General features: G+C 39.3%; 1 protein-coding gene and 1 pseudogene across 3 annotated transcripts, besides 2 other annotated features; one reads left to right on the forward strand and one right to left on the reverse strand.

Annotated features, from left to right (window-relative positions):
* Positions 1-159: 159 nt before the first annotated feature.
* Positions 160-24,788, reverse strand: OR14I1 (olfactory receptor family 14 subfamily I member 1). Of its 2 annotated transcripts, NM_001004734.4 has the most exons (5): positions 24,725-24,788; positions 23,933-24,027; positions 20,869-20,927; positions 7,474-7,588; positions 160-4,346 (listed from the first exon to the last, which is right to left on the reverse strand). In NM_001004734.4, exon 5 carries the CDS (start codon positions 4,324-4,326, stop codon positions 3,391-3,393), a length of 936 nt encoding a protein of 311 aa, NP_001004734.1. In that variant the 5' UTR covers positions 4,327-4,346; positions 7,474-7,588; positions 20,869-20,927; positions 23,933-24,027; positions 24,725-24,788; the 3' UTR covers positions 160-3,390. The 2 variants fall into 2 exon arrangements, with proteins under 2 accessions (NP_001004734.1, XP_047276599.1); XM_047420643.1 differs by lacking the exons at positions 23,933-24,027; positions 24,725-24,788 and having other exon boundaries at positions 162-4,346; positions 20,869-21,761.
* Positions 8,810-9,009: an enhancer, noted in NCBI's record as "active region_2872". NCBI's record gives its function as "activates an Ori minimal core promoter by ATAC-STARR-seq in GM12878 lymphoblastoid cells {active_cell/tissue: GM12878}" and the evidence as "EXISTENCE:reporter gene assay evidence [ECO:0000049][PMID:35858748]".
* Positions 10,628-10,677: an enhancer, noted in NCBI's record as "active region_2873". NCBI's record gives its function as "activates an Ori minimal core promoter by ATAC-STARR-seq in GM12878 lymphoblastoid cells {active_cell/tissue: GM12878}" and the evidence as "EXISTENCE:reporter gene assay evidence [ECO:0000049][PMID:35858748]".
* On the forward strand, positions 19,084-21,132 carry LYPD9P (LY6/PLAUR domain containing 9, pseudogene; annotated as a pseudogene). Its single transcript, NR_125950.1, has 2 exons — positions 19,084-19,229; positions 20,881-21,132. The product of NR_125950.1 is annotated as an LY6/PLAUR domain containing 9, pseudogene (transcript).
* Positions 24,789-25,207: the final 419 nt, after the last annotated feature.

The following is a 25,207-nucleotide window of genomic DNA, read 5'->3' on the forward strand; positions in this document are numbered from 1 at the left end:
GTGCTCAGGGTCTCACTGATTAGAGTGCATACTGGGAGCAGTCAGGTCTTGTTTATGCAATGATCTCCATTTCATGCATTCCTATTAATATCACCAAAGGATACAAGATAATACCCTGCTACTTTAGGGGATAACAGTATAGATACATGAAAGATAAAGTTTGCATTCAATATTTTATTCCAAATATTTTATAGAGCTACTACATAATGACAAAAAGGACAATAAGGCAGGAACATATAAATAAGCTAAGGTATCTAATGTAGTCATGAGGGTGTCCACAGGGGATGTTGTGATAACAGATTTAATGTCTTTGAGGACATTCCATTCAACATCAGAATATACTTTTATTTCAAAGACTCATGAATAGTCAGCAAGATAGACCATTTCACAGATCATTAAATAAACCTTAACAAATTTAAAAGATTCTAAATCATGTGCAATGTTTTCTCTGGCAACACTGAATCAAATTGGAAGTCAATTACACGAAAACAACTGGAAAAATCTGTAACTACTTGGAAATTAAACAATATGTTTCTAAATAATCCACAGGACAAACAGGAAGTCTCAAAGGAAAATGTTAAGAAATTTATGAAGTTTTAATTCTATTTTTAAATTACACGCATATTTCATTAATTATAGTTGTTGTATGTGCTATGAAATAATTTCAGGTTACCTACAAAGCCTTAATTCTAAATCCAGCTAAAGTATCATTCAAAAATAAAGGCAGAGAACACAAGAAATTTTCAGATTTCTTTTTTTAGACAAGAGTTTTTACCATTGTCTGAAGGAACTATTATATTTAAAGCATAAATACACAAAGGCCAACAGTTTGGGAAAGAAGATAACAGCAAGAAATTTTTGGAGGCTGAAAAAAAAATAATTAGAATTGGACTTCTTAGATCTAAAAAAGCTGAATATTAATGTGGTCATAGAAGCAGCTCAGAAGCTTGCAGAATTATACTAGAAGAATCCCTCCAAAAGCTTGAAGTTGAAGTAATCAAGTACCTCTAAACAGTTCAAATAGGAGGCTTGTCTAAAATTTGTATAAAAAGCTGTTAGATCCTGATCCTTGTAACTACTTCATGTAGGTGAGCAGCTACTCCTGCCCCAAATGGTACAACCCTAGAAATTTACTTAATGGAAATGTTGAATGCCAGGGGCTCTGGATCAAGAAAAATATGAATGACACAAGTACATAAGTGAAACTCTGTATAAAATTAGGAGAAGCTGGGTGAGCACTACATAAAAACTCTGTACAAATTTTGCAGCTTTTCTGAATACTTAAAGTTCAACGTAAGCATTAAAAAATTAGAATAATGTTAATATTTTTGGTGGGGAGTGTGTGCTGATTGGGAGGAGTGGCAAGAGGGCTTCCGTGATGGTGATGTTCTGTCGCTTGATGTTTAGTACTAATATAATATATATTGTAATATATATTAGTATGTTTAGTACTAATATATGTAATATAGCTATATGCTATATTATACTATGTGCTTTATTATACTACTTAATATTAAAAGGGATTAAAAACCATTTATAATGTGCTTGTCTTTCTTAGAAGCCCTGTTGCCTCTTTCATTAAGTGATGAGTCAACTTGCTCCCTAAAATTCCCTTAAAATAGTCCTTGACCTCAAGAACCCTGAGTAGTCACTCAGGAACACTCACACCTGCTCTGGTGGGACAGGTGTCATTTGAGCCTTATCAGGTATAGCTGGTCCTGAGTCCACCTCCATAAATTTCAGGTCTAGAAGCTGAAGAAAGCTAGCACATTTTCCCCATCCTGGGCCATTGGCTTCTCTGACATCAGGGTCATAAGACTGAGGGTGAAAGTACTTGCTTATCTAGGACTGTATTTAAGTAAAAATATTAATCCATGGCAAATTATCTTATAGTTTCAGATGTTCATCTTATGAGAGAAAAACAGTGATAGCTTAATAACAAAGGTTTTATTATGCAATAAAACATTTACATTCATTTAGAATTATAAACAATATTTAATGTTTTAAATGTACTTTCAAGAACAGGAAAAAACACATATTAAGCATTCAAGTAAAATTTTATATAAAATAGTTGCAAATAGATAGGTCTAAGCAAAGAATTCTTTCTCCTGTGTTGTAGCACTTTGAGTAACTTTTTTCCTTGTTTTATAAAATTAAAGCAGGACAGTTTTTAAGAAAGACATTTAAAGCAATAAACATCTATTACATTGATAACTACAAAAGCATAGTTAAAAATGAGAAAAAATAATTTTACAAATTTTTATTTGGCAGCATATCGAAGAATTATATTTACAGAATTTTATGTTTTATTGTATTTTCCCAATTGTTTGCAATCTCTCTGGAAAGTAAAAGTGAGATTTGGGATGTAAAGTCCAGTGCCTAATGGAGAGGTCAGCCTCACACACAACTGCGATGGGCTAATGACAGTTCACACATCAAGACTCTTATCCTGAACCAACTAAGAATATCAGTGTTTCCACGAATCCTCTTCCCATCCCATCAAGTGAAAATCAGGAATAGCCAGTGTACATTTCACGAGCCCAGTCACCTGAGAATGGCAGACAGCCCATGTGCCAAGGGACTCACGCTCAGGTGTTCTGACAAAATAATGACAATGGCGATGATGATAATCACCAGCAGTGACCAAGAACTCAGACCCAGGAAAGAGCTCTGTATGTATTAACACATTGAATATTAACACAGGTGTAGAAACTGAGGCACTAAAACCCAGGAAAGAGATCCGTTTCTATCAACACATTGAATACTAACACAAATGCAGAAACTGAGGCACTCAGTGACAATCTCAGTAGATGCATTGATGGAAATTGTGTTAATTTCCTGACAGATTTCTAAAAATAACTAAGTGAAAGAGAAATATCCTTAAAATATTTGGCAAAATCTAAAACATACGTTCCTGTTCTAATAACCCTTCTGCTTGTTTTATGTTCTTTTTTGTTGACTGGCTAAATCAGGTACTAAAACTGTGTGCGTGTGTGTGTGTGTGTGTGTGTGTGTGTATGTGTGTGTCCTCTTCCAAAAAATTCATACTAACAGGAGTGCAAGGCTACAGGTTCAAGATGAGGTAATTAAAGCAGTTCGAACATGTGTGGAATGGGAAGGAATAAATCACCACAACAAGCTGCAGTTACACAACCTTGAAATATTTTATGAAGGTACTTTTATACTTTTATACTTTTAGTTTTTGAAGAAACATTTGCATTTCTATCTACATATAGTAGTGCAAATATTGTCTTTCTCCCATTCAACAGGTTTTTTTTTTCAGGATTTTTCATCATTTCATCAACAATTTTTTCATCTTTTTTTGTCATAAAGTATTTATGCTTTTTTGGGGTTTTGTTGCAGATCTTCTATAGTAAAGACCAGGATGTTCTACTTTTGCAGAAAATATATCTTCACAAAGAGTCTCCACATGGCTGTTTTAATCTCCTTATTCCTAAGACTATATATGATGGGATTGAGGAAGGGAGGCAAAACTGTGTATGTCAGAGCAATCACTAAATCCTGAATGGACAGAGCTTTTGCAATTGGTCCTAAGGCAGCAAAGAGCCCTGTGGTAAGAAAGAGCATGATGACAATGAGCTGGGGGGAGCAGGTGGAGAAGGCTTTTGCTCGACTCTGTCCTGAAGGGATTCTGAGCACCGTTGAGAAGATTTGGAAATAGGAGATCATCATGAGAATAAAGCATCCCAGAACCAAGCATGAGCTCAGGGCCAGGGTCAAAAACTCTACAAAGAAAACCTCACAGGAAACCAGGGCCAACACATGAGGGATGTCACGGAAGAACTGGTGGATCACACTGGATCTGCAAACGTGCTCCCGAAACATGTTGCCAGTGTGGACGGCTGCGTAGGAAAAGCAGCTTAGCCAGGTGGTGACTGCCATCTGATAGCACCCTCCTGATGTCATCACGGCTCTGTATTGGAGGGGGTGGCAAATGGCAACATAGCGGTCATAAGACATGACAGTAAGGAAGGCCAGCTCAGCAGATGCAAAGGCAGAGAAAAAATAGACTTGAGCCACACAGCCAAGATAAGAGATGGAGCTTCTGCGAGTCAGGGAGTTACGGATGGATTTAGGCACAGTGACTGAGATGTAGCACAGATCCAAAACGGAGAGGTTCTTCAGGAAGAAGTACATGGGTGTGTGAAGATGCTGATCGAGAGTGATGACTGCAATGATGAGCAGGTTCCCCACCAGCACTGCCAGATAAATCAGCAGAAACAGCCCGGCGTGCAGCACCTGCAGCTCCCAGATACCAGAAAACTCCATCAGCAGGAATTCTGTCACTTTTGTGAGATTGTCCATTTGGCAGGGAAATCTGTGATCTGATTGTTGAGAAAAAATATACAATAGTTTTAAATGAGACAAAAAGTGAACACAGTGTGGTAGGAGTAATATCCTCCTAAATTAAATTCAATCCACTGGACATCTTCCACACTGCTTAAACAAATAAAATGGTGGGAGATTTTTAACATGGAAAGATCATAAAAAATATATGCCTAAGACTATGAGTTGAGTAACCAATTTCTAAAAGCTTTTGATTAGTACTGTTTTTCTATTATATGGAACTTCTCAATCTTGAAATTAAGATTTTTCTCATCAAATAATCTAGGGTGCTTATTAAATATGCAGAATTTCAAGTCTCAAGGCAAATATACTAAATAAAAATTTGTGGGATAAAACCAATAATTTGCTTTTCATACAAGTTTCTGGGTGATTTTTTAGTACAAAAGTTTGTAGTTTTAACTGTGGTTATACATCCTGGGCAGAGTCAACTGTCTTTAGCTATTTGTTGAATAAATTGGGTGGTAAGCCACTTTAAAATGAGGATTTACTGTTTAAGACATGGAATGAGTATGGAATATGATTTTAAAACCATTGATAATTAGCTCTGGTTTGGAGAGAGGGAAATTTATTTTGTGTCAATGTGCAAGACATGACAATAGTTATACTAACAATGCCATTACCCATGTGTTGCACCTTCTCTGTGCCCGATGCTATTATCTCTACAGGACACACCTTGGCTCAATTAATATTCATAATTGTACAATAAATTAAAATATGCCGTTATTATTCTTTTTCTCAAGATAAAACGGAGGCATAACAAGATCAAATAAGTTGCCCAATGCACTGAAAGAGCCAGCACCTGAGCCAGCATTTAAATCAAGGCAGTTCATTTCCAGGATGTGTTGCTGACCTCTGCATTCTAAGTTTTTTTCATAGAAAATAACTTTGACTAACATAAGCTCACAAAAATAACTTTTTTCTATATATTGTTTATCATATTTTGTTTATTTTCACTGGTATTATCTATATGTTTAAAATTAGTTTTTCTGCATCAAAGTCATGTGTGTTAGATCCTGTTCACATGACTCAAATATTCTCACTAAAAACAACTTATTAATTTTTTTCAAACTAGAGCCAACTTTAAACAAGTGATTTTAAAATCAGGTTACTGATCATCTAAGGTTTAGTTGCCTTATTTCATTAATGATAAACTCTATTAAGCACATAAATGCTATCCCTTGCTACCAGGCAAATGTGAAATGTTATTTATAAGACAGGTAGAACCTATGTTTTATGACAAATTTTAAAGATAATGTGAAATGTTATTTTTTATAGGACAGGTAGAACCTATGTTTAATGAAAAAATTTGAAGATAATCTTTTGTCCAAATGCTATAAATGATACAGTCACTTTGAAGCATTTCATTGTATCATTAAAACAAGTAATTGAAAAGAATTGCACTCTTGGCAAAGCGCGGTGGCGAACTCCTGTAATCCCAGCACTTTCGGAGGTTGAGGTAGGTGGATCACCTGAGGTGAGGAGTTCGAGACCAGCCTGACCAACATGCTGAAATCCCGTCTCTACTGAAAATACAAAATAGCTGAGCGTGGTGGCACATGCCTGTAATCCCAGCTACTCAGGAGGTTGGAGCAGGAGACTCGCTTGAACCTGGGAGGTGGAGGTGGCAGTGAGCCAAGATCGTGCCACTGCACTCCAGCCTGGGCAATAAGGGCATAACTCCATCTCAAAAAGGAAAAACAAAAAGAATTGTACTGTCACACAAAGTCAAGTGACGAGCAATACATATTTACAATGAAAATGACAAAGGAGCACTATCCCTGATAAACGACAAACTATAAAAACACATTAGCATAAACAATGAGCAAAGTATATGAACAAGGGCTCAGAAAACTGGAAAGCTAATGACCCAATAACAATTCAAAATGTGTTCAACTTTACTAGTTATGGAAATGCAAATTAAAACTTTAACATGATGCTATTTTGTGTCCATTGCTTTAGAAAACATATGTCTGGCAAGTAAAGTCTCGACAAACATGTGAAGGGACGAAGCTCTTTGCTGCTGCTTAGTTTGCTGTGTAAGCAGCCTACCTACTTTGGAGGGTCAACTGGAAATTTTGAACACAACTGAAGATGCGCAAGTTTGATGCAGCAATGCTCCTTCTCACAAATGTACACTTGAGTTTTAAAAAATGACATATGTGAGGATGTTTGCTCCATGACGTTTAAACCCCTAATTACCATCACTAGGAAAATGGATAACATACCCTACTTTATCCCAGAATGGAACACTCTCTAGAAGTTAAACTGAATGGGATACTCTACATCAATATTGAACATTTCAACATAGTTTTGAAAAAACCCCACAAACTATTACACAAAATATGTTCCCAGTCATATGCATTTAAACATTCAAATTGTGCAGTGCATTATTTATAAATACACACACATACATATATATATATATATATATACACACACACACAGATAAGCTTGTATAAAACAGTTACTGGAATGAATACAAATGCCAATAAATGGGGTAGCGGAGGGAAAAAATAAGTTGAAAACATTGAACAGTAATTATATCTGTAATATTTTAACAGTTAAGATCATTAAAGCAAACAAAAATATGAATAAATGATAAGCCTAAGTGCTCGTTCTTAAAAATCATTTGTTATACTCTTTCTAGATTTTGGATATTTCATATTTTTAATATTATTTATACATTAATGTCAAAGAAGCAACTGAAATACTTTTGTGTGTTATAAATTGCTTTTATATTTTATATATTTAAATTGCTTGTAAAATTCAGTGAAAAAAGCTCTCTTTTTTCCACTGTTTTCTTTGACATTATAGATTAAATAAAATACCTCACATATTAAAGTAATAATCTCAAAAAATATGATTAAACATTAATAAAAAAGTAATGGGGACTCAGGTGATTACATTCTGCATATTTTGACATCCATTATAATACTATTTAACAATGCAGAGTAACTTTTAAAACTGGGTTTTTGTTCTGACTTTTTAATAGAACTCAATGAAACAAGTAATAAAATGGTTGTTAATTGGTTTGTATTTAAAATATCTCAACCAAACAACCAAGAATTGCAGCTGTCCCATAAAACAAGGCAAAAGGTTACCCACCCTTCCAGCAGAATCAGCAGTGTACAGGAGTATACTATCTCCCGGGTTAGCTTGCTATCGGTAGATGTAAAATTCTACAAAACTGCCACGTGGCCAATTCCTTGTAATGTATTATCTAGAGAATGAGAAAATAATAATGCTCTTTCCTTGATTCTAACACTCACATTTCTGCACTGCTAAAGGAAAAGCATCATATAATTTATATATAGTTGTGTATATATAGTGCATATATAGTTCGTGTATATATATACATATAAATATACATGTATAGTATATATATACATATATATGTATAGTTGTGTATATGTATACATACATATATATGTATATATAGTTGTGTATATATTTGTGTACATATAGTGTGTATATATAGTTACTGTTTATTGAAAAGTTATTAAATTAATATTTTCCTTGAAAATTGTCTACAATTTGAAATTGAGGACATACAAAACAAATCTATAGGGATGCAAACATATTATCATTATGATATATAAGCATATATACAATACACCTATTCAAAATATTAGGCAAATTGATGTGCATTTATTAACAAAAACTTAGTAGTTAACACATTGGTTAAAAAGACACAATACATTTTCATATACATATGTGCATCATTGATAGATATAAGTTGAAAATTTTGAATATATTATTTTTAACCGTAAAGCATATTGAATTAAATATGTATAAAGATTTCCTGCTTCCAAGTCTGTCTATTTTAAATTCACACATGTGGTATGATGAGTAATAAGATTAAAAGAGACCTGAATTCTTGTCATGTTCTGACACAGCTGTTTTAAGTTGGGGAACCTACAAATACATTTTAATTTCAATTTACTGAAATGTAAAACTACACTCAACAAGATGGCCTCTGCTGCCCCACCTCTGAGAGCATTTGTATCTAATCTATATGAAGCCTTTTTACTTCAGTGTAGTTTTCTCTGAGTGGCCTGATGCTGAAGAGCTGCCCTTTATCCCACTTATATCAAGCAAAAGAGCAACACTGAGGAACAAAACCAATACACACTGCACCATGAGCTGCTTCCACTCTAGTCTCAAACTAAAAATAGATCTCTCCAAAACTGATTAAAATGATAAAAATTCAAGCAAACTGAATGCACTATTTTGTTTGCTTGTTTCATTGGAAAAAAATATGAAACATAATTACTAAGAGAACAATTAAATCACTTTAAGCAAACATGTCTTGATTTTTTTCTCATAAAAAATTTGAAATGATTGCTTACATAAATCTCATGTAGACAAATTCAATTTCCTTATTGGGTAAATATCTGAGAAATACAAGACCAGCAATACCTTGATTAAATAACATGTAGCTTCTCAATATGTATTCACTGTCTGGACCAATGATGATAAAGAAACAGTTCTGAAGTTTTCCTCTGTGTCTCACCAGAAGAAGTGACCCAATTTAACATGCAAACTCAGTGATAGAGAAAACCTGATGTATAATATATCAAGGAGACAATCTTCTCTGTTAGTTTCCCATAGAGACTGGGCCGCCACAGTCTGGAGGAGATTGGCTTCCAGAAGGAAGCCTGGGGGACGCTGGTCTCAGGAGGATGCTGCCTCCTCTGGGTTAAATTGTAAATTACCTGCTGAAACAGAAAGCAGAATATGGAGTAGGTGCCAACTGAACTCAGAGTCCGTGAGGAAGTGATGAGCATGAGATATAGAGATTTTCATTAAGAGAGTGAGGAGAGTAAACAGTGAAAAAAGTAAAGGATTTATATTTTCACATTTCATAAAATAATCTTCGATAAAGTACAAAACCCAGACATTTAAGTACTCAGAAAATAATAAATTGTTTTACTTCATCACTATGCCTAGTCAGTATGCCACATGAGAGCAGTTAAGTGCGTATACTCAGTTTACTTTGCAGTTACAGCAGCCTGTTTCTGTATTGCACATAGACTCTCAGAAAATTATTGGCTTAATGGAGACAATCATCATGCTTCTCATCTTCCTCCAAATCTATTTGTTCCACAACCAGTCACAGACCAAGAGGATGGGTAGATCTCACTAAATACGATCATTTGAAAATTAGAAGTGAATAGAAAAATCTGGCAGAAATTTAGGAGATATATATTTTATCATTTCATTTTTCAAATGAGGAAAGTGAGTCTTAATATAAAAACTTAAGACAAATTAAACTTAGCAGACTTTATTTGATCAAAGAATGATTCATTATCAGATCGCACTACAGATCAGAAGAAATTCAGAGAGCTCTGCCCAGCAGTGTGAACAAGCTTTTATGGGCCAGACATAGGAGCAAAGTAGAAAAATCACCTGCTTGCCTACAGCTAGACATCCGTCTTGTTTGAACATGGTGTTATTTAATTTTGGCAATACTATAAGGCAGTAGAAAAATATTGCACATATGTACATACATCCAGATATAGATAGACATGTAACAGAAACATTACAAATTTTTAGCCATGTGCCAGGTACAATAATACAAATCTCACTAATTTATTAAAGAATATCTGGATCTAAATTGTTTTTGGCTAATGCCACTTAAATGGCTAAAGCTTCTTACTAATATTTGTGAAAAAGATCATTAATGTTTTTTTATTTGCTCAGTTTCCAAATATCTATTTTTCTTACTTCTACTTCTGATGAGTTATCTACCCTAAACTTGCATTTTAAATAGATACCTATTAAACTCTAGAGAAGACTGTGTAGAAAATTTATATCTCAAAAGCACAGAGCTTGGACTTCCAGCTTAAATGCTTTAATTTGCCCAAACCAAGAAAGAAAGATGTAAAGACCCAGTTAGGGCAAGACAGCTAGGAAAAGCACTTTAAAGGCAAGGCTTCTGTAGATTTAAGCCAACGCTTTCTTCCTTATCAGAGTTTCCAGTGTTCTCTGTCCAGAGAGGTAGACCTTCTTACAAATGGAGATTCCCTTTAGGGATGTAAATTTCTCTTACAAAGAGTCCTCAAAATAAGCAGGTGAAAATAGTTTTTCTGCCAAAAAGTTGTATTTTGGAGATTTATTCTGCTAAATCAGTGGTTTTCCAACCCACCTTCTGTCTTTTAACTAAAATACTAAGTGGGTGGAACCCACTGAAGACTAGAACAAATATTTTGTGTGCCTGACTCACCATGGTTACTTCTAATCTTGCTCTATAATCACAGACTGGTACAACTTTTCTCTCCTGTTTTGTTTTCAAGATTGCAAGACTGAATAATATTTCCCCCCACCCACCAGAAAGAGTTTGGGGCATAGCAAAGATCATGACAACAAGAAAGAATTGGCAGAGTATGTGTTTAGCGGGAAGTTTCATAAGAGGTGTTTCAGTTGACTGCAGGGTTCCCATGGGAGAAGCAGGATTAAAGAGAGAAAACAGAAAAGACTCATTCTTACAAATGTTTTTCTAAATATGATTCAACTGTCAGTCAGATAGCTTCAGGTATGGGGACTTCCACATTTGATTTGAAACTTCCATTTTTTTTCTCTGGGGGATTGGTTGATTATTGCCCAGGGAGTGTAGCCCTTGGGGGCTTTCTCTAGTAGGTAGACAGGCCAGGTCCATCAGATGACTGGTATAGAAATGAAAAATTTCTTATGCAAAGGCCTGACTATTTAAAATACAGGTAAACTTCTTGGGACACGCGGTCCTTTACTTTTGAGGCAACTCCTCTGGGGTTCAAAATAGCTACAAGGAGGTCTTCTCAGTCCCCATAGCTGGCGTATTATAAAGGCATGCACCTCTTTGTCCTTTGTAAAAAGTCTCCCCACTGTGGCCTTTGTAACTTAAAATTACCTTTGGTCAGGTTCACTCATTTTTCTAGAAAAACACATGTTCTGGGTCCATGGTTCTTATACATAAAATATGCTGCAGTCCCACATGGAAGAGTTCTAGAGCCCTTGGATTCAAAAAACACATGATATGCTGTCTTCCAGGAACCTTACCTACCAGAGGCCTCCTACTGGACCCAGTCTGGTTTCTTTACCAGATCCATTCCAATTCTGAACCCAGTCCAGTCAACAAATTGCTCAAACAAAGTTAGAGCTCAAAACATAAATTTGCAGAGTTTGAATCCAAGAGGAAATTTACCCATAATCTTCAGTTGCAGCGTGAGAGCAATGGGCCCTAGTGGGTATCTACACTTGGGCATTCCTTGTTCCGGGGGGCCACTGGGTATCCTTCAAATCTTACTTCTAACACCAAATAGTTAAAAGAAAAACTTTACCAATGAGACAGAAAATTAACAGGCCTATTCAGGACTTGAACTCAGCTCTGGACCAAGCAAACCTAATAGACGTCTACAGAACTCTCTACCTCAAATCAACAGAATATACATTCTTCTCAGCACCACATAGCACTTATTCTAAAGTTGACCACATAATTGGAACTAAAACATTCCTCAGCAAAGGCAAAACAATGGAAATCATAACAAACAGTCTTTCAGACCACAGTGCACCAAATTAGAACTCAGGATTAAGAAACTCACTCAGCACCACACAACTACATGGAAACTGAACAACCTGCTCCTGAATGACTACTAGGTAACTAACAAAATTAAGGCAGAAATAAATAAGATATTTGAAACCAATGAGAACAAAGACACAACACACCAGAATTTCCGGGACACAGCTAAAGCAGTGTTTAGAGGGAAATTTATAGCATTACATGGCCACATCAGAAAGCAGGAAAGATCTAAAATCGACACCCTAACATCAAAATTAAAAGAACTAGAGAAGCAAGAGCAAATAAATTCGAAAGCTAGCAGAAGACAAGAAATAACTAAAATCAGAGTAGAACTGAAGGAAATAGAGAAACAAAGAAGCCTTCAAAAAAACAATGAAATCAGGAGCTGGTTTTTTGAAAAGACTAACAAAATAGATAGACCACCAAGCTAGGCTAATAAAGAAGCAAAGAGAGAAGAATCAAATAGACATAATAAAAAATGGTAAAGGGGATATCACCACTGATCCAACACAAATATAAACTACCATCAGAGAATACTATAAACATCTCTATGAAAATAAACTAGAAAATCTAGAAGAAACGGATAAATTCCTGGACACATACACCCTCCCAAGACTATACCAGGAAGAAGTCGAATCCCTCAATAGACCAGTAACAAGTTCTGAAATCCAGGCAGTAATTAATGGTCTACCAACCAAAAAAAAAAAAAAAAAAAAAAAGCCCAGGAACAGACGGATTCACAGAGGTACAAAGACTAGCTGGTACAGTTCCTTTTGAAACTATTCCAAACAACAGAAAAAGAGGAACTGTTCCCTAACTCATTTTATGAGGCCAGCATCACCCTGATACCATAACCTGGCAGAGACACAACCAAAAAAAAAAAAAGAAAGAAAATTTCACACCAATATCGCTGATGAACACTGATGTGAAAATCCTCAATAAAATACTGGCAAACTGAATCCAGCAGCACATCAAAAAGATTATCCATCACGATCAAGTAGGCTTCATCCCTGGGATGCAAGGCTGGTACAACACATGCAAATCAATAAACACAATCCATCACATAAACAGAACCAATGACAAAAACCACATGATTATCTCAATAGATGCAGAAAAGGCCTTTTTTAAGGCTGAGTAATATTTCATCTTAGGTAGATATCACATTTTCTTTATCCATTTATCCCTTGATGGATATTTAGGTTGCTTCCAAAAAGAATTAGAGCTTCTGCAGCTGCCAGAAAGTAAGCCATCAAAACAGCAGTTGGGTAACAGGAAGAATTCTAACACTCTTGAGCTCATAGGTAGAAGGGACCCTTCATTCATTCAACACACACTAACAATGCATTTATGTCCCAGGTACAGTGCTAAAGGCTGGAAGTATGTGGATCATGCATACATACACAGTCCCTGTCCTTTCAAAGTGTTCAGTCTCAAGGAGGTGTGAGTATGTTAGAAAATATTCTGAGGTGCCAGAATTGCACTAGATGCATTGATGACTTGGAGGGTATTGGTAGGGTAGAATGTTCCCGTCAGAGAATTAAGTATATAGGTACCCTTTCCTCAAAAATGCTTAGACTAGGTAGGGAAGAGGGTGAGGCACAATAGCATATCTTTAATTGGGTGGGGTGAGAACCAAAGAATCGGAAAAACAGACATTCCAGCTCCTCCAAGTTCTTCCAATCGTCAGAACTGTGGAACTAGCCCACCAGGCTTTCTCCAGTCACGTGAGCCGGGAGCCACCAGGATCTCATTGGCCAAGGCTCCCAGAGGGCGGGAAGAGCGGGAAGTGAGGACCAATGGGGCAGGCCAAAGGGACTGTGGAGGCCGACGCATGCGCAGTGCCCTCCGGCCTAGCCCGGCCAACCCGCCTGTCCCGGACCGCCCGGCGTCAGGTACGGGTTCACCAAGCCACCCCGCCCACCTCAGGACGCAGCTGCCGGTCCAGCTGCTCCCGCGGGCCCACAGCGCGCTGTGGAAAGGAGCGGACAGGCCAGAGGCTCTCTCGGGCCTACAAGTCTCTAGGCTAGGCAGTGTTTCCGAGTCCCAGGTGCCTCCAGAGGCCGAGCTCACAGCGCGGCCCACCCAGCATCCGGGGGCGCTGTGAGGGGCGCTCGCCCAGCAGCGGAAAGGCCATTCGCGTGGCGCGGGAGCGCGGGCCCGGCCGCCTGGGCGTGTCCCTTTCGCGGAACTGAGCTCACTGGCTCCTCTCTTCCAGACGGAGCGACGGGGCCGGCCGCAGCCTCAGCCACGCGTCCCTCGGTGGCGGGCAGGCTCCTCTTGGCCTGCAGCCTTACTTTCATGCCCTTCTTCACAGGTGAGCGGATGGCTTGGGGTCCTCCCGCATTTCCCGCAGCGTCGCTCTCTGCATTCCCGCATTCCCAGGTTCCTGCTGCATTCGTGAATTCCCTCCTGCATTCCTGTACTCTCCACTCTTCCAGCCTGCATTCCCACATTTCCACCCTCATTCCTGCATTCCCAACTGCATCCCCCAACGTTGCCACTTTCTCCCCATCGTTCCCACCTGCGTTTCCGCATTCCCACATCCCTGCTCTGATTCCCACCCGCATTTCTGAATCCCCACCTGCTTTCTCTACCCCAGTCCAGCCTTTATTCCGGCATTTCTGCCTTCATTCTCGCGTTCCCAGCCACATTCCCCTTTGCATTCTGCAGACCTCCAATCACCTTTCTTTGTTGGGCAGTGTACTCATCAGCACGGCATAAGGAAAGAGCAGACACGGCTCCTGCCCTCATAATGCTTACAGTCTACAGAACAGTGCTGGGGACACAGTCCTGAGTGTTGCCTTCTGATCAACCACTTAACTGACTGCCTGGCCTCAGGAAAGCAGCTGAGCTTATCTGTTCTTAGGTATCCTTATTAGAGTACTAAGAATATTGGTTCCTGCCTATTATAGTTGTAAGGAACATGTGAGCTAGTAAAGGGCTGACACAATGCCTGGCATGTAATAAGCTCTCATTAAAGAGAGCTTTAATGTTTGTCTGTCTTTCTCCAGAGACCACTTCATGTTGGGAGAATTGTGGGGAGAGAAAATGTTCACCAGTGAAACGTGAATCATGAGCCCTCATCCAAGTAGTTCTACTTCCCCGATTTCCCTGAAGGTTATAGGGTACTGTGTGAGCAGCCTCTAACTCTCCCTGGTTGTTCACAGAAGTAAGATGTTCTGGGTCTGCTTATCGGGAGGAGTCATTCAGTTAGTGCCACATAATCATTTTAACATTTCTCCCATTGCTGCCAGGGCATCCTGCATCACCTCCCAAGCCAGCCTCCCACGTCACCTGGGTGGTGTACTAATTCACGGCCAGGAGCACTGACTGTTCCTGCTCCCACGTCACCTGGGTGGTGTACTGATTCACGGCCAGGAGCATTGACTATTCCTGGCCACCTCCTTGCACCTTTCCTGGTTCCCTCAGCCTCTCAAAGTTCTCATCTTTCCTTTGATGAGAAAGAGAAGGGCAGACTGAAAATAGACTCACCACCCACCTGTCCTTTCCCCCTGCCCCATACTGGTGGACCAGCATCACAGTAAAAATAGTTACCACTTAGTAAGAATTCATTATGAGCCAACTTAGGATTTTTGATAAGATAAAAGAGTTCAGCATAATTTTACATAAAATTAGTTTTTTCTTGATATATTTTCTTCTCTTCTGCTTTCCACACCTAATAAAACATTACAGAAAGTCTTGTTTTATTTATTTTGAGGACAGGCCTTAGGTAAAATGTGGAAGTTTATCTTGGAGCTTCCAATCTTCAAGTTCTCTTCTCCTTTCCCCATCCTCTGTCTTCTCCACTCTATCCTATCTTATCTCCTCTAGAGCCCAAACCCAGCCCCACTGATTTTTCTCAATCAAAGCTCATTTAAAAAAAAAAAAAGGATGGGAAAATCGTCGTTCCTCTCACTATGAATAGCTAAGAACAGTGCTATTAACTTGCCTGGTATGCTCTGCATTTTAACAGAAATCAAAGTCCAGAACTTTTTAAAAAAAAAAAAAAAAACCATTTACTGGAATATTGGGCTTAAGAGTGTTTGTGCATTTGGTTGAGAGGGCAGGAAGACCTATCAGTCTGCATGTGGCACACACTCTAATAATTTTCTTCAAGTTCACATGCCATTGCCTTGGGACATCAGGGCCCCAGCCAGGCACTGGAGGGGCAGAGGGAGGCATGTGGGCAACTTTGAGGGGAGTGGGAGAAAGTGATACTTAATCTCATACTTAACCAGGTGACCACTTGTTTCCTCAAAAGTGCCCTCCTTTGCTCTGCTGATCAGAGATTGCTTAGTGGTTATGATTAGTAGTGAAGTTTGTTTGAATATAATATTTTCTGTAACAAGCCTTTTTTTTCGGGAGCAAAAACAAATTTTAAAACTTTTTTTCATATATTGTCCCATTTTAAAAATTTACTTACATTTGTTTTTAATTGTGTAACTGTAAAAATAAATAATATATGCCTATGACGTATATTATCCTACCCTCTTCAGCCCCCAACACAACTCCTGTTTAGCAACCATAGTTATTCCTTTCTTGTTTACCTTTCCAGAAATGGTCTGTTACTTACAAACATATCCAAATGCATCTTTTCTTTCCATTGGCAGCATTTTATATCAAATGCTCTACATCTTGTTTTTTTCCCCTTAAAAGTACATCTTGAAGAGCTTTTCATTTCATCAGAATATGGCCATATTCTGTCTATGGTGGTATTCATCTCTGTTTCATGGATATGACAGAATCTATCTAACCATGAGAATTTCAGTCACTTCTGATCACTTCTTATCACAGAGGATGCTACAATGAATGACCTTGTACAAATGCATGTAGGAAAATACCTAGGAATTGCTGGATAAAAGAGCTTGTGCAAATTGTTCTCAAAAAGAAGTATTACTAATTTACCCACCAGAAATAGATGAGAATACCTGTTGCCCCTCATTGCAATTTTAATTTACATTCATCATTACCTTCTGCAGTGATCAAAATGTCTATGCCTGTGCTGTCCAGTACAGTGGCCACTAGCCATGTGTGGCTATCCAGCATTTGAAATGAGACTGGTGTGACTAAGGAACTGAATTTTTAATTACATTTTATTTTAATTAATTTTAAATAGATACATTGGACAGAGTAGCTTCAGAGCAGAGTAGGGTATGAAAGAGTTTGGAAAGAGACAAAAGGGGATATGAGACATATTGCTGAGAAATTATGAATTGGAAGGTCTCTCTAACGTTAACCATTGAAATTTTCGTTATTTTGTCTTTTAATTTTCAAAATTACTTTTTAAAGTGATAAGTTTTTACGAATTACTTTTGAATGTATGCTTTTTTTTTTTTTTTTTTTTTTTGAGAGGGAGTCTCGCTCTGTCGCCCGGGCTGGAGTGCAGTGGTGCAATCTCGGCTCACTGCAAGCTCTGCCTCCCAGGTTCACGTCATTCTCCTGCCTCAGCCTCCCGAGTAGCTGGGACTACAGGCGCCCGCCACCACGCCCAGCTAATTTTTTGTGTTTTTAGTAGAGACGGGGTTTCAACGTGTTAGCCAGGATGGTCTCGATCACCTGACCTCGTGATCCACCTGCGTCTGCCTCCCAAAGTGCTGGTATTACAGGTGTGAGCCACTGCGCCCGGCCGAATCTATGCGTTTTTAAAATTACATTTGGATTGTGCTTCCTCAAACAAGACTCTCCAGAGAAAGCAAGCCTGGTTAGCCCTGGATCTCTAATGGTTGTAGTGGTGGAGAGGCATGTGGGCGTCTCTAGTCTCTGCTTCTCCTTCTCTTCATGGCAGCACCCAGCTCCCAGGCCTCAGCACTGCCTTCCCAACCCCTTCTCCTACCCCGGGTGGAGGGCCAGCTGCCCTCACATTTGCAGGGCCCATGGTAATATGTCACAATACTTAAAAGAAATACAGTAAGCTAAAAACAATAATAAAATATTTTCCATCCTTTTACTTACACAAATGTGTCCTCAGAATGACCTAAAAGGTTTGGAATGTTCGCAAGAGTTTCATGCCAGAGAATTGCAGCACTGAGAAATCTGGATCCTGGTCTCCAGCCCATCTCCTTTCCCCATTCCACACTCCCCTTCAACTGTGAAGGCCATCGCGATCATGTGTGTGGACACGCCAATGCTGAAGTTTAAACTCCCCACTCCCACCACCTCTGACAACTGCTAGGTTAGATCTCAGTCTGTTTGAGCAAGAAATCCCAGGATTCTTGGTAGCCAGGCAAAGTGGGGAAAGGGCATACAGGATCTGGGTGGGCATGTCCCCTTGGTGTCACATACTACTCATCCCATAGGGGCTAACAGAGGCAGAAGAGGCCCTGGTCTGGGGGAGGTGAACAAATCAAAACTACCTTTTGATAGCCTAAGGAGAATTCTTCAGGGAAATACCATGGCTTTTACTCCTTTTTTCCCCTTGCTCTTAATTTTCCACAGATTTCCACCTCTTTATTCATAGTCCCCACCATTCTCTGCTCTGTGCCTGGACATCTTTTACTGGAACAGCCAAGCCCAGTCTTTGCCCATGACAGCAGGTGGCAGCAAGAACACTTGAATGGAAGCGGGGAATCAGTCGACTTCTGTTCACTAGGACATTATTATGGAGCCCCAGAGGCAGATAGTGCAGAAGAAGCTAAGGCTCTTTCTTGTTAGGGCCCCTTCTTTGAGTATCCTGTGCATTCTGCCACCCGTGACCTTTACTTGTAAGACCACATTTTTCTGTGTAAGTGTTTGGAAGTAGACCTTTTTCAGGCCTCCACTCAAAAAATGTCCCTTTTTCTGTGAGGCCTTTCCTGACCAACCCCGTGAATTATCCCTACCCTGCACATCCTGTCCTGTTTTGTCTCTCTCCGTAGTATTTATCATCATCTGACATATCATATTTTTTTCTTCTTTGTTTTTTTCTGCTTCCTCCATCTGAAAATGAGCTCCATAATGGCAGGGATTTTTATAGTAACTCTAGTGTTATTGGATGCGTTTGAAAGTGTCACATGAGGAAGGCAGGGGTGAGGATTAGGGAAGGGTGAATGGGGTGGGTGGATCTAGTTCTAGCGGCTGTTCTATGAGAATGAGTACATTTGCTTGTCAATGGCAAATAACTAGCCAGTCTTCTATCTTTTTTTAACAGTCTCCTGGGAGATTAAGATGAGTGATCTAGAGGAGGAAGATGTTGATGAATTCAGCTCCAGTGGTTTTAAGTGCCCAACATGCTTTGCAGTGCAAGGAAGGAAATGCGATACAGAACTCAAATGGTGTGCAGCAGATAAAATAAAGTGTATTGAATTCTCTGGCATCATAAACACAGGTACTTTTCTAGGATGTACTGGTATTCTCTCACAAGCTTATGGGGTATGTGTTCCAAGGGTAGGGTTGAGGAGAAATCAGCTTTTGTCCAAATCTCTTAGAAATGAGGACACAGCAGTGGTCTGACTCTGTAAATATGTCCAACTGGCTTTCACATTCACTTATTTTTGAATTGATACATGTATTCATTGACAGGCTCTCTACTAGCTTTGAGGAAGTTGGTTCAGCATATTGGAGGAATCTTCATCTTCTGCAAATTTTGGTTAGGTTTAAAAAAAAAAAAAAAAAAAAAACATGGCCGGGCGCGGTAGCTCATGCCTGTAATCCCAGCACTTTGGGAGGCTGAGGCGGGCAGATCACTTGAGGTCGGGAGTTCAAGACCAGCCTGACCAACATGGAGAAACCCCGTCCCTACTAAAAATACAAAATTGGCCGGAGTGGTGGCACATGCCTGTAATCCCAGCTACTCGGGAGACTGAGGCAGGAGAATCACTTGAACCCAGGAGGCGGAGGTTGTGGTGAGCCGAGATTGCTCCACTGCACTCCAGCCTGGGCAACAAGAGCAAAACTCCATCTCAAAAAAACAAAAAACAAAAAACCACGGGGGCAATGTGTGCTTTTTTCCTCTGTTGTTGTTGTTGAAATTTTCAAAATAAGAGCTCTGGAGAGAGGCAATGACCAAGCTTAAACTTTCTTCAAAAAGATTGCAAATTATATTTTACTATGCTTGCTTTAAGAAAATACAATACAAAATTCTAAATTAATTGAAGACATTTAAATGAGAAATGATTTAGGAGTGATAGTGTGGAATAGCACGAAATGCAGTGGGCTGAGTTCCGTGAGGGTTGGGTTGTTTCCATAATTCCTCTTTACCTGCTCACTTCCTCCTGCTGACGCTGGGGAGCTCCACCTTCCTGAAGTTCATCTAAGTGAGGTAATTAGAAGGCTAACCATGTTGGTTGGTCTCTTGGATTCTTATGTTTCTACTTTCTGTAATTTGCATAATAAAAGAGATGTATTTGCTTTAAAATAGCAATCACTCGATTGCTATTGACACTGCAGAAGAAGTAAGATGAAATCATCGAGAGCGTAGAATATGTGCCATGTGAAAGAATATGTCTGAAGGTGCTTTGAAAGGCAGGGAACACAATCACAGTCGTAGCTTTTTTATGGCTATTGCTAGTTCTTAAATGATAACTCAGACCAAGAATAAGAGATTAGATTTATGTTCCTAAATTTACAAAGAGTCTACATAACTGAAACACAGACATACCCCCTCCCCTGAGTATCAGTAGCATACAGGATACCCCTAACAAAGTCATTAGGACTTCTTACTACCATTGGCATAAAGGGTCTATAAAAGCATATGCTATCTCAAGTGGTAATGTAAGTTGGAAAAAAGTTCATATAAAGTTTAGAAAATATGCCAATATGTGATTGACATAGATTTTGAGAAGATTTAGGAATTTGGAAGTCCCATCTTTGGAGGACACATTTCTAGCTCATTGCCTCTGCTGCAGAGAGCCCTGTCAGATGGATCACACCAGAGTGTGACTTGACTTATATCCTACTCCAGCCCAGTCTGTATGAGTAAAATGCAGAGTATAAGGAAGGAGGAGGAGAGTGGAAGTCTCACTTACAGTTTCTTGCAGGTATTCGTGACGTAGCCATTGAAATGAAGAGATGCACACAAGCAGACCTATGCAAAGAGACGATAACTTCTTAGATGGGTTTTCCAATTGCTAACAAGAGTAGAAATTGCAAATCAGCCATCAGAAATGGGGCCAGAATCAGACCCCCATCTCCCATCTTCTTTGTTCTTTTCCTGGGGAGGGTACTTCATGGAGCTCTGGCAAGAGCCTAGCCACTTCCATTTATGAATTAAACCTGAATTTTTTTGTTAATGTATTCTTTCATGAGTGTTAATTTCTCCATAGTTATATTCAGTTGTCCATTTGTTTACTCATTCAATGAGTTTACTTGTTGTGTATCCAGCCTTGCATAAAGTGTGTTAGGGTCAAAGTGAATCAGCTTTGGGTCCCTGCCTTTAAGGTCCCAAAGCATTTAGAGAATGAGGACGTGTGCAGTTAAAATGCTGAGAAAGCAATTTAAGAAGAACATAAAAGAGCAGAAGCACTCTGCTTAAGGAGCCTGAGGGATTGGTTTGGACATAGGGTAAAAGTAGAAGACTGTGGGTTTGATTAAGGAAAGATTGGGATTTTAGATGGACTTTGAGGAGACCTTTACTATATGGCAGCAGAAATAACATGCACTGAGACATGGACATGGGGAGATGGGTGGAGGCTAAGATGCAGTAGCTGAAATTAATGGTAGGAGGAGTGGGGGAGAGGAAAATGTCAGCAAGTATATGGGCCTGGCTGGAAGCATCTTTCTGAGAGGGATGGAAAGTGCTGCCCTGGATGAACACAGTGGACTCACTGAGCTGAGGACAGGCCAGCTCTGTGATGGAAAACAGTTTCCTTCAATCCACCAGAGAGATGATCAAAAGCCAAGGTCCCTGGTTCTCACTGCTGACTACTTTTTGTTTTGTTTGTTTGTTTGTTTGTTTTGAGACAGAGTCTCGCTCTATCGCCCAGGCTGGAGTGCAGTGGCGCAATCTCGGCTCACTGCAAGCTCTGCCTCCTGGGTCAAGCAATTCTCCTGCCTCAGCCTCCCAAGTAGCTGGGACTACAGGCACGTGCCACCACGCCCAGCTAATTTTTTATATTTTTATTAGAGATGGGGTTTCACCATGATGTTAGCCAGGATGGTCTTGATCTCCTGACCTCGTGATCCGCCTGCCTTGGCCTCCCAAAGTGCTGGGATTTCAGGCCTGAGCCACCGCGTCCGGCCCACTGCTGACTACTTAGTACAGAATCACCCAGGAGCTTTAAATTAGAATGCGCATCCTAGGCCCCCTGCCAGAAATTCAGATTCAGCTGATTTGGGATGAGCCTGGCCTTGCTCCCGCATTTTTGTCCTTTGTGTTGTTTTAAATGCTCCCCAACCAGGGTGACTTTAATTTTCAGCTACTATTTTTTAAAATAACTGAAGTATAAGTAAAAGATCATAATTTATTTTACCCAAAGTGAAAGACCTCCAATTAAAGCCAACCAACTATAGCGTGTAAAACAGAAGATTGTTTACATGATATCAAATGTCAATTGATATAAAGTTTGAAAAATTGCAAGTACTCTTCTTTAGCTTTAGATTAGTTGTGCAATACAAGAACACTAACCAAATTAATGGCTTTTCTTCTCAAAGGACTTCCTAATTTATGGAGAAATGTCATTCATGACCCCGAAAATCAAACTCATGGCATAAATACATTTTAATCCTTTATGTCTCTCAAAGAAAAAAATTCCAACTAAATGTGATTATATTTGTTTCTGTCATGACAACTTGTACTCCAGATGTATTAAGTCAACTATCAGGTTTTATTGGAATTTTTAAACAAGAGGCAAATGCATTTATTTATAGCTTTGTTCTCCTGAAAATTTTTATTCTCAGTTTTCTCAAACACTCTATGAAAAGTGTCATGGATAGAGTTTTTTTAAATCATTGAGTTCATATGCGTCAGTGCCATAAATCGTCACCAGTTTATGGAATAATTATATAAAAGAGAAGATAGTGAATTTAATGAACTTGTGTTCTTTGCCAATGCTCATTGGGTGAATCATGGAAAATTTTTACAAAGATTTACTATATTATTAACTCGAATTCCCAGTTTTATTCAAACAGAAGGAATACTTGCCAACCATTTAATAATCAAAGACCAAAATGGGCAATGTAATTTATGTTTTCTCGTTGATGCTACATTTCACACATGAGCTAAGATTTAGCCTCCAATCAAAGGAAAAGCTTATTTGTAAACTTGGTAAAAAGATATGACACTATATTGAAATAGAAACTTTTTACAAGACAAACAATAATGATTTTACACACTTTTAACTTTTTTTTTTTGAGACGGAGTCTCTCTCTATCACCCAGGCTGGAGTGCAGTGGCACCATCTCGGCTCACTGCAACCTCTGCCTTATGGGTTCAAGCGATTCTCCTGCCTCAGCCTCCCAAGTAGCTGGGATTACAGGTGCCTGCCACCACATCCGGCTAATTTTTGTATTTTTTAAGTAGAGACGGGGTTTCACCATGTTGGCCATGCTGGTCTCAAACTCCGGACCTCAAGTGATCCATCCACCTCAGTCTCCCAAAGGGCTGGGATTACAGGCGTGAGCCACTGCACATACTTTTAACTTTTTAATAATAGGCAGAAGATTTTGATTGTCATCAACATTGTTATGTAAAGTGGCTGTAAAAACTATAAAAACATTAAAACACTCTTGGTATTTATAAATTTAGGGTTGATTTTCAATTTTTGTGATAACTTTCATTATGATGTTCATAATACTGAGTGGACACAGAGTTAGTGAAATTACTTAATTTGGATGAATTTAGTTTTGAAATTGATACGAAGTGATAGGATTCACTTCAAATGAAATCAAGAGAGCGATATCACCAAGATGACAGAGTAGGACATACTGGCCTTCATTCCCCTTGCTCCCCTGCACCCCTCCAAAAATAGCTATCCACAAATCAACATGGCACTGACAGGTCTCAAAGACCCTGTGTTAGTCTGTTCTTGCACTGCTATAAAGAACTACCTGAGACTGAGTAATTTATAAAGAAAAGAAGTTTAATTGGCTCACGGTTCTGCAGGCTGTACAGGAAGCATGGCTGGGGGGCCTCAGGAAACTTACAATCACGGTGGAAGGTGAAGGGGAAGCAGGCATGTCTTTCATGGCTGGAGCAGGAGGAGGAGAGCAAACGGGAAGGTGCTACACATTTTTAAACAACCAGATCTCATGAGAATTCACCCACTATCATGAGAACAACAAGGGAGAAATCCACCCCCATGATCCTGGTCACCTCACACCAGGCCCCTCCTCACATTGAAAAATACAATCATCCTTTCTCAACGGTCCCCCAAGTCTTAACTCATTTCAGGATTAACTCAAAAGTCCACAATCCAAAGTCTTATCTGAGGCAAGAAAGTTCCTTCCACCTATGAGCCTGTAATATCAAAAAACAATTAGTTACTTCCAAGATACAAAGGGGTACAGGCATTAGCTAAATACTCTCATTCCAAAAGGGAGAAATTGGCCAAAACAAAGGGACTACACTCTACACAAGTGCTCCCTCACTGGTAATTAAGAAGAAATTCTATCTATTTATTGTCCCTCTTTTCTCACATTCCACATCAAGCCCATTAAAAAATCCTGCTGTATCTACTTTCAGAGTATCTTTAGAATTCTACTTTTTTTTGCCTTTCCCACTGCCACCACCTCGATCCAAGCCTCATCTCTCACTGTAGTATTGCCATAGCCCTTCTGTTCTCCCAGCTTCCAGCCTTAGTCCCCTAGAGCCTACTCTCATCTCAGCAACCAGGTTCATGTCATATGGTGTACTGCCTCTGCTCAAAATCCTCCAGTGTCACCCACCTCACTCAGAGCAAATGCCAAAGCCAGAATGATGTGGGCCTGCTGTTCTCCTAGTGCTCTGCTGCTTGCTCACCTTCTTGGTTATCCTCCTACTCATCTTCTTGTTCTTCTTCTTGCTCACCTCCTTGCTCACTCTCATTGCTTATCTACTTGTTCTCCTCCTTGCTTACCTTCTTGCTATTCTGCATGCTTTCTGTTCTTGCTCACCCTCCTTTCTCACCTCCTTATTCTCCCCCTTGCTCACCTCCTTGCTTACCTCCTTACTCTCCTTACTCATCTCCTTGCTTACCTCCTTACTCTCGTTGCACACCTCCTTGCTCATTCTCATTGCTTACCTCCTTGCATGTTCTCCTGGATCACCTCCTTGCTCAACTCACTGTTCTTTTCCTTGCTTATCTCCCATCTTCACCTCCTTGTTCTCCTCCTTACTCACCTCCTTGCTTATCTCCTTACTCTTTTGCCCACTTTTCTTTCTCTCCTCCT

This window comes from Homo sapiens, chromosome 1, assembly GCF_000001405.40.
Source record: "Homo sapiens chromosome 1, GRCh38.p14 Primary Assembly".
Lineage (NCBI taxonomy): Eukaryota > Metazoa > Chordata > Mammalia > Primates > Hominidae > Homo > Homo sapiens.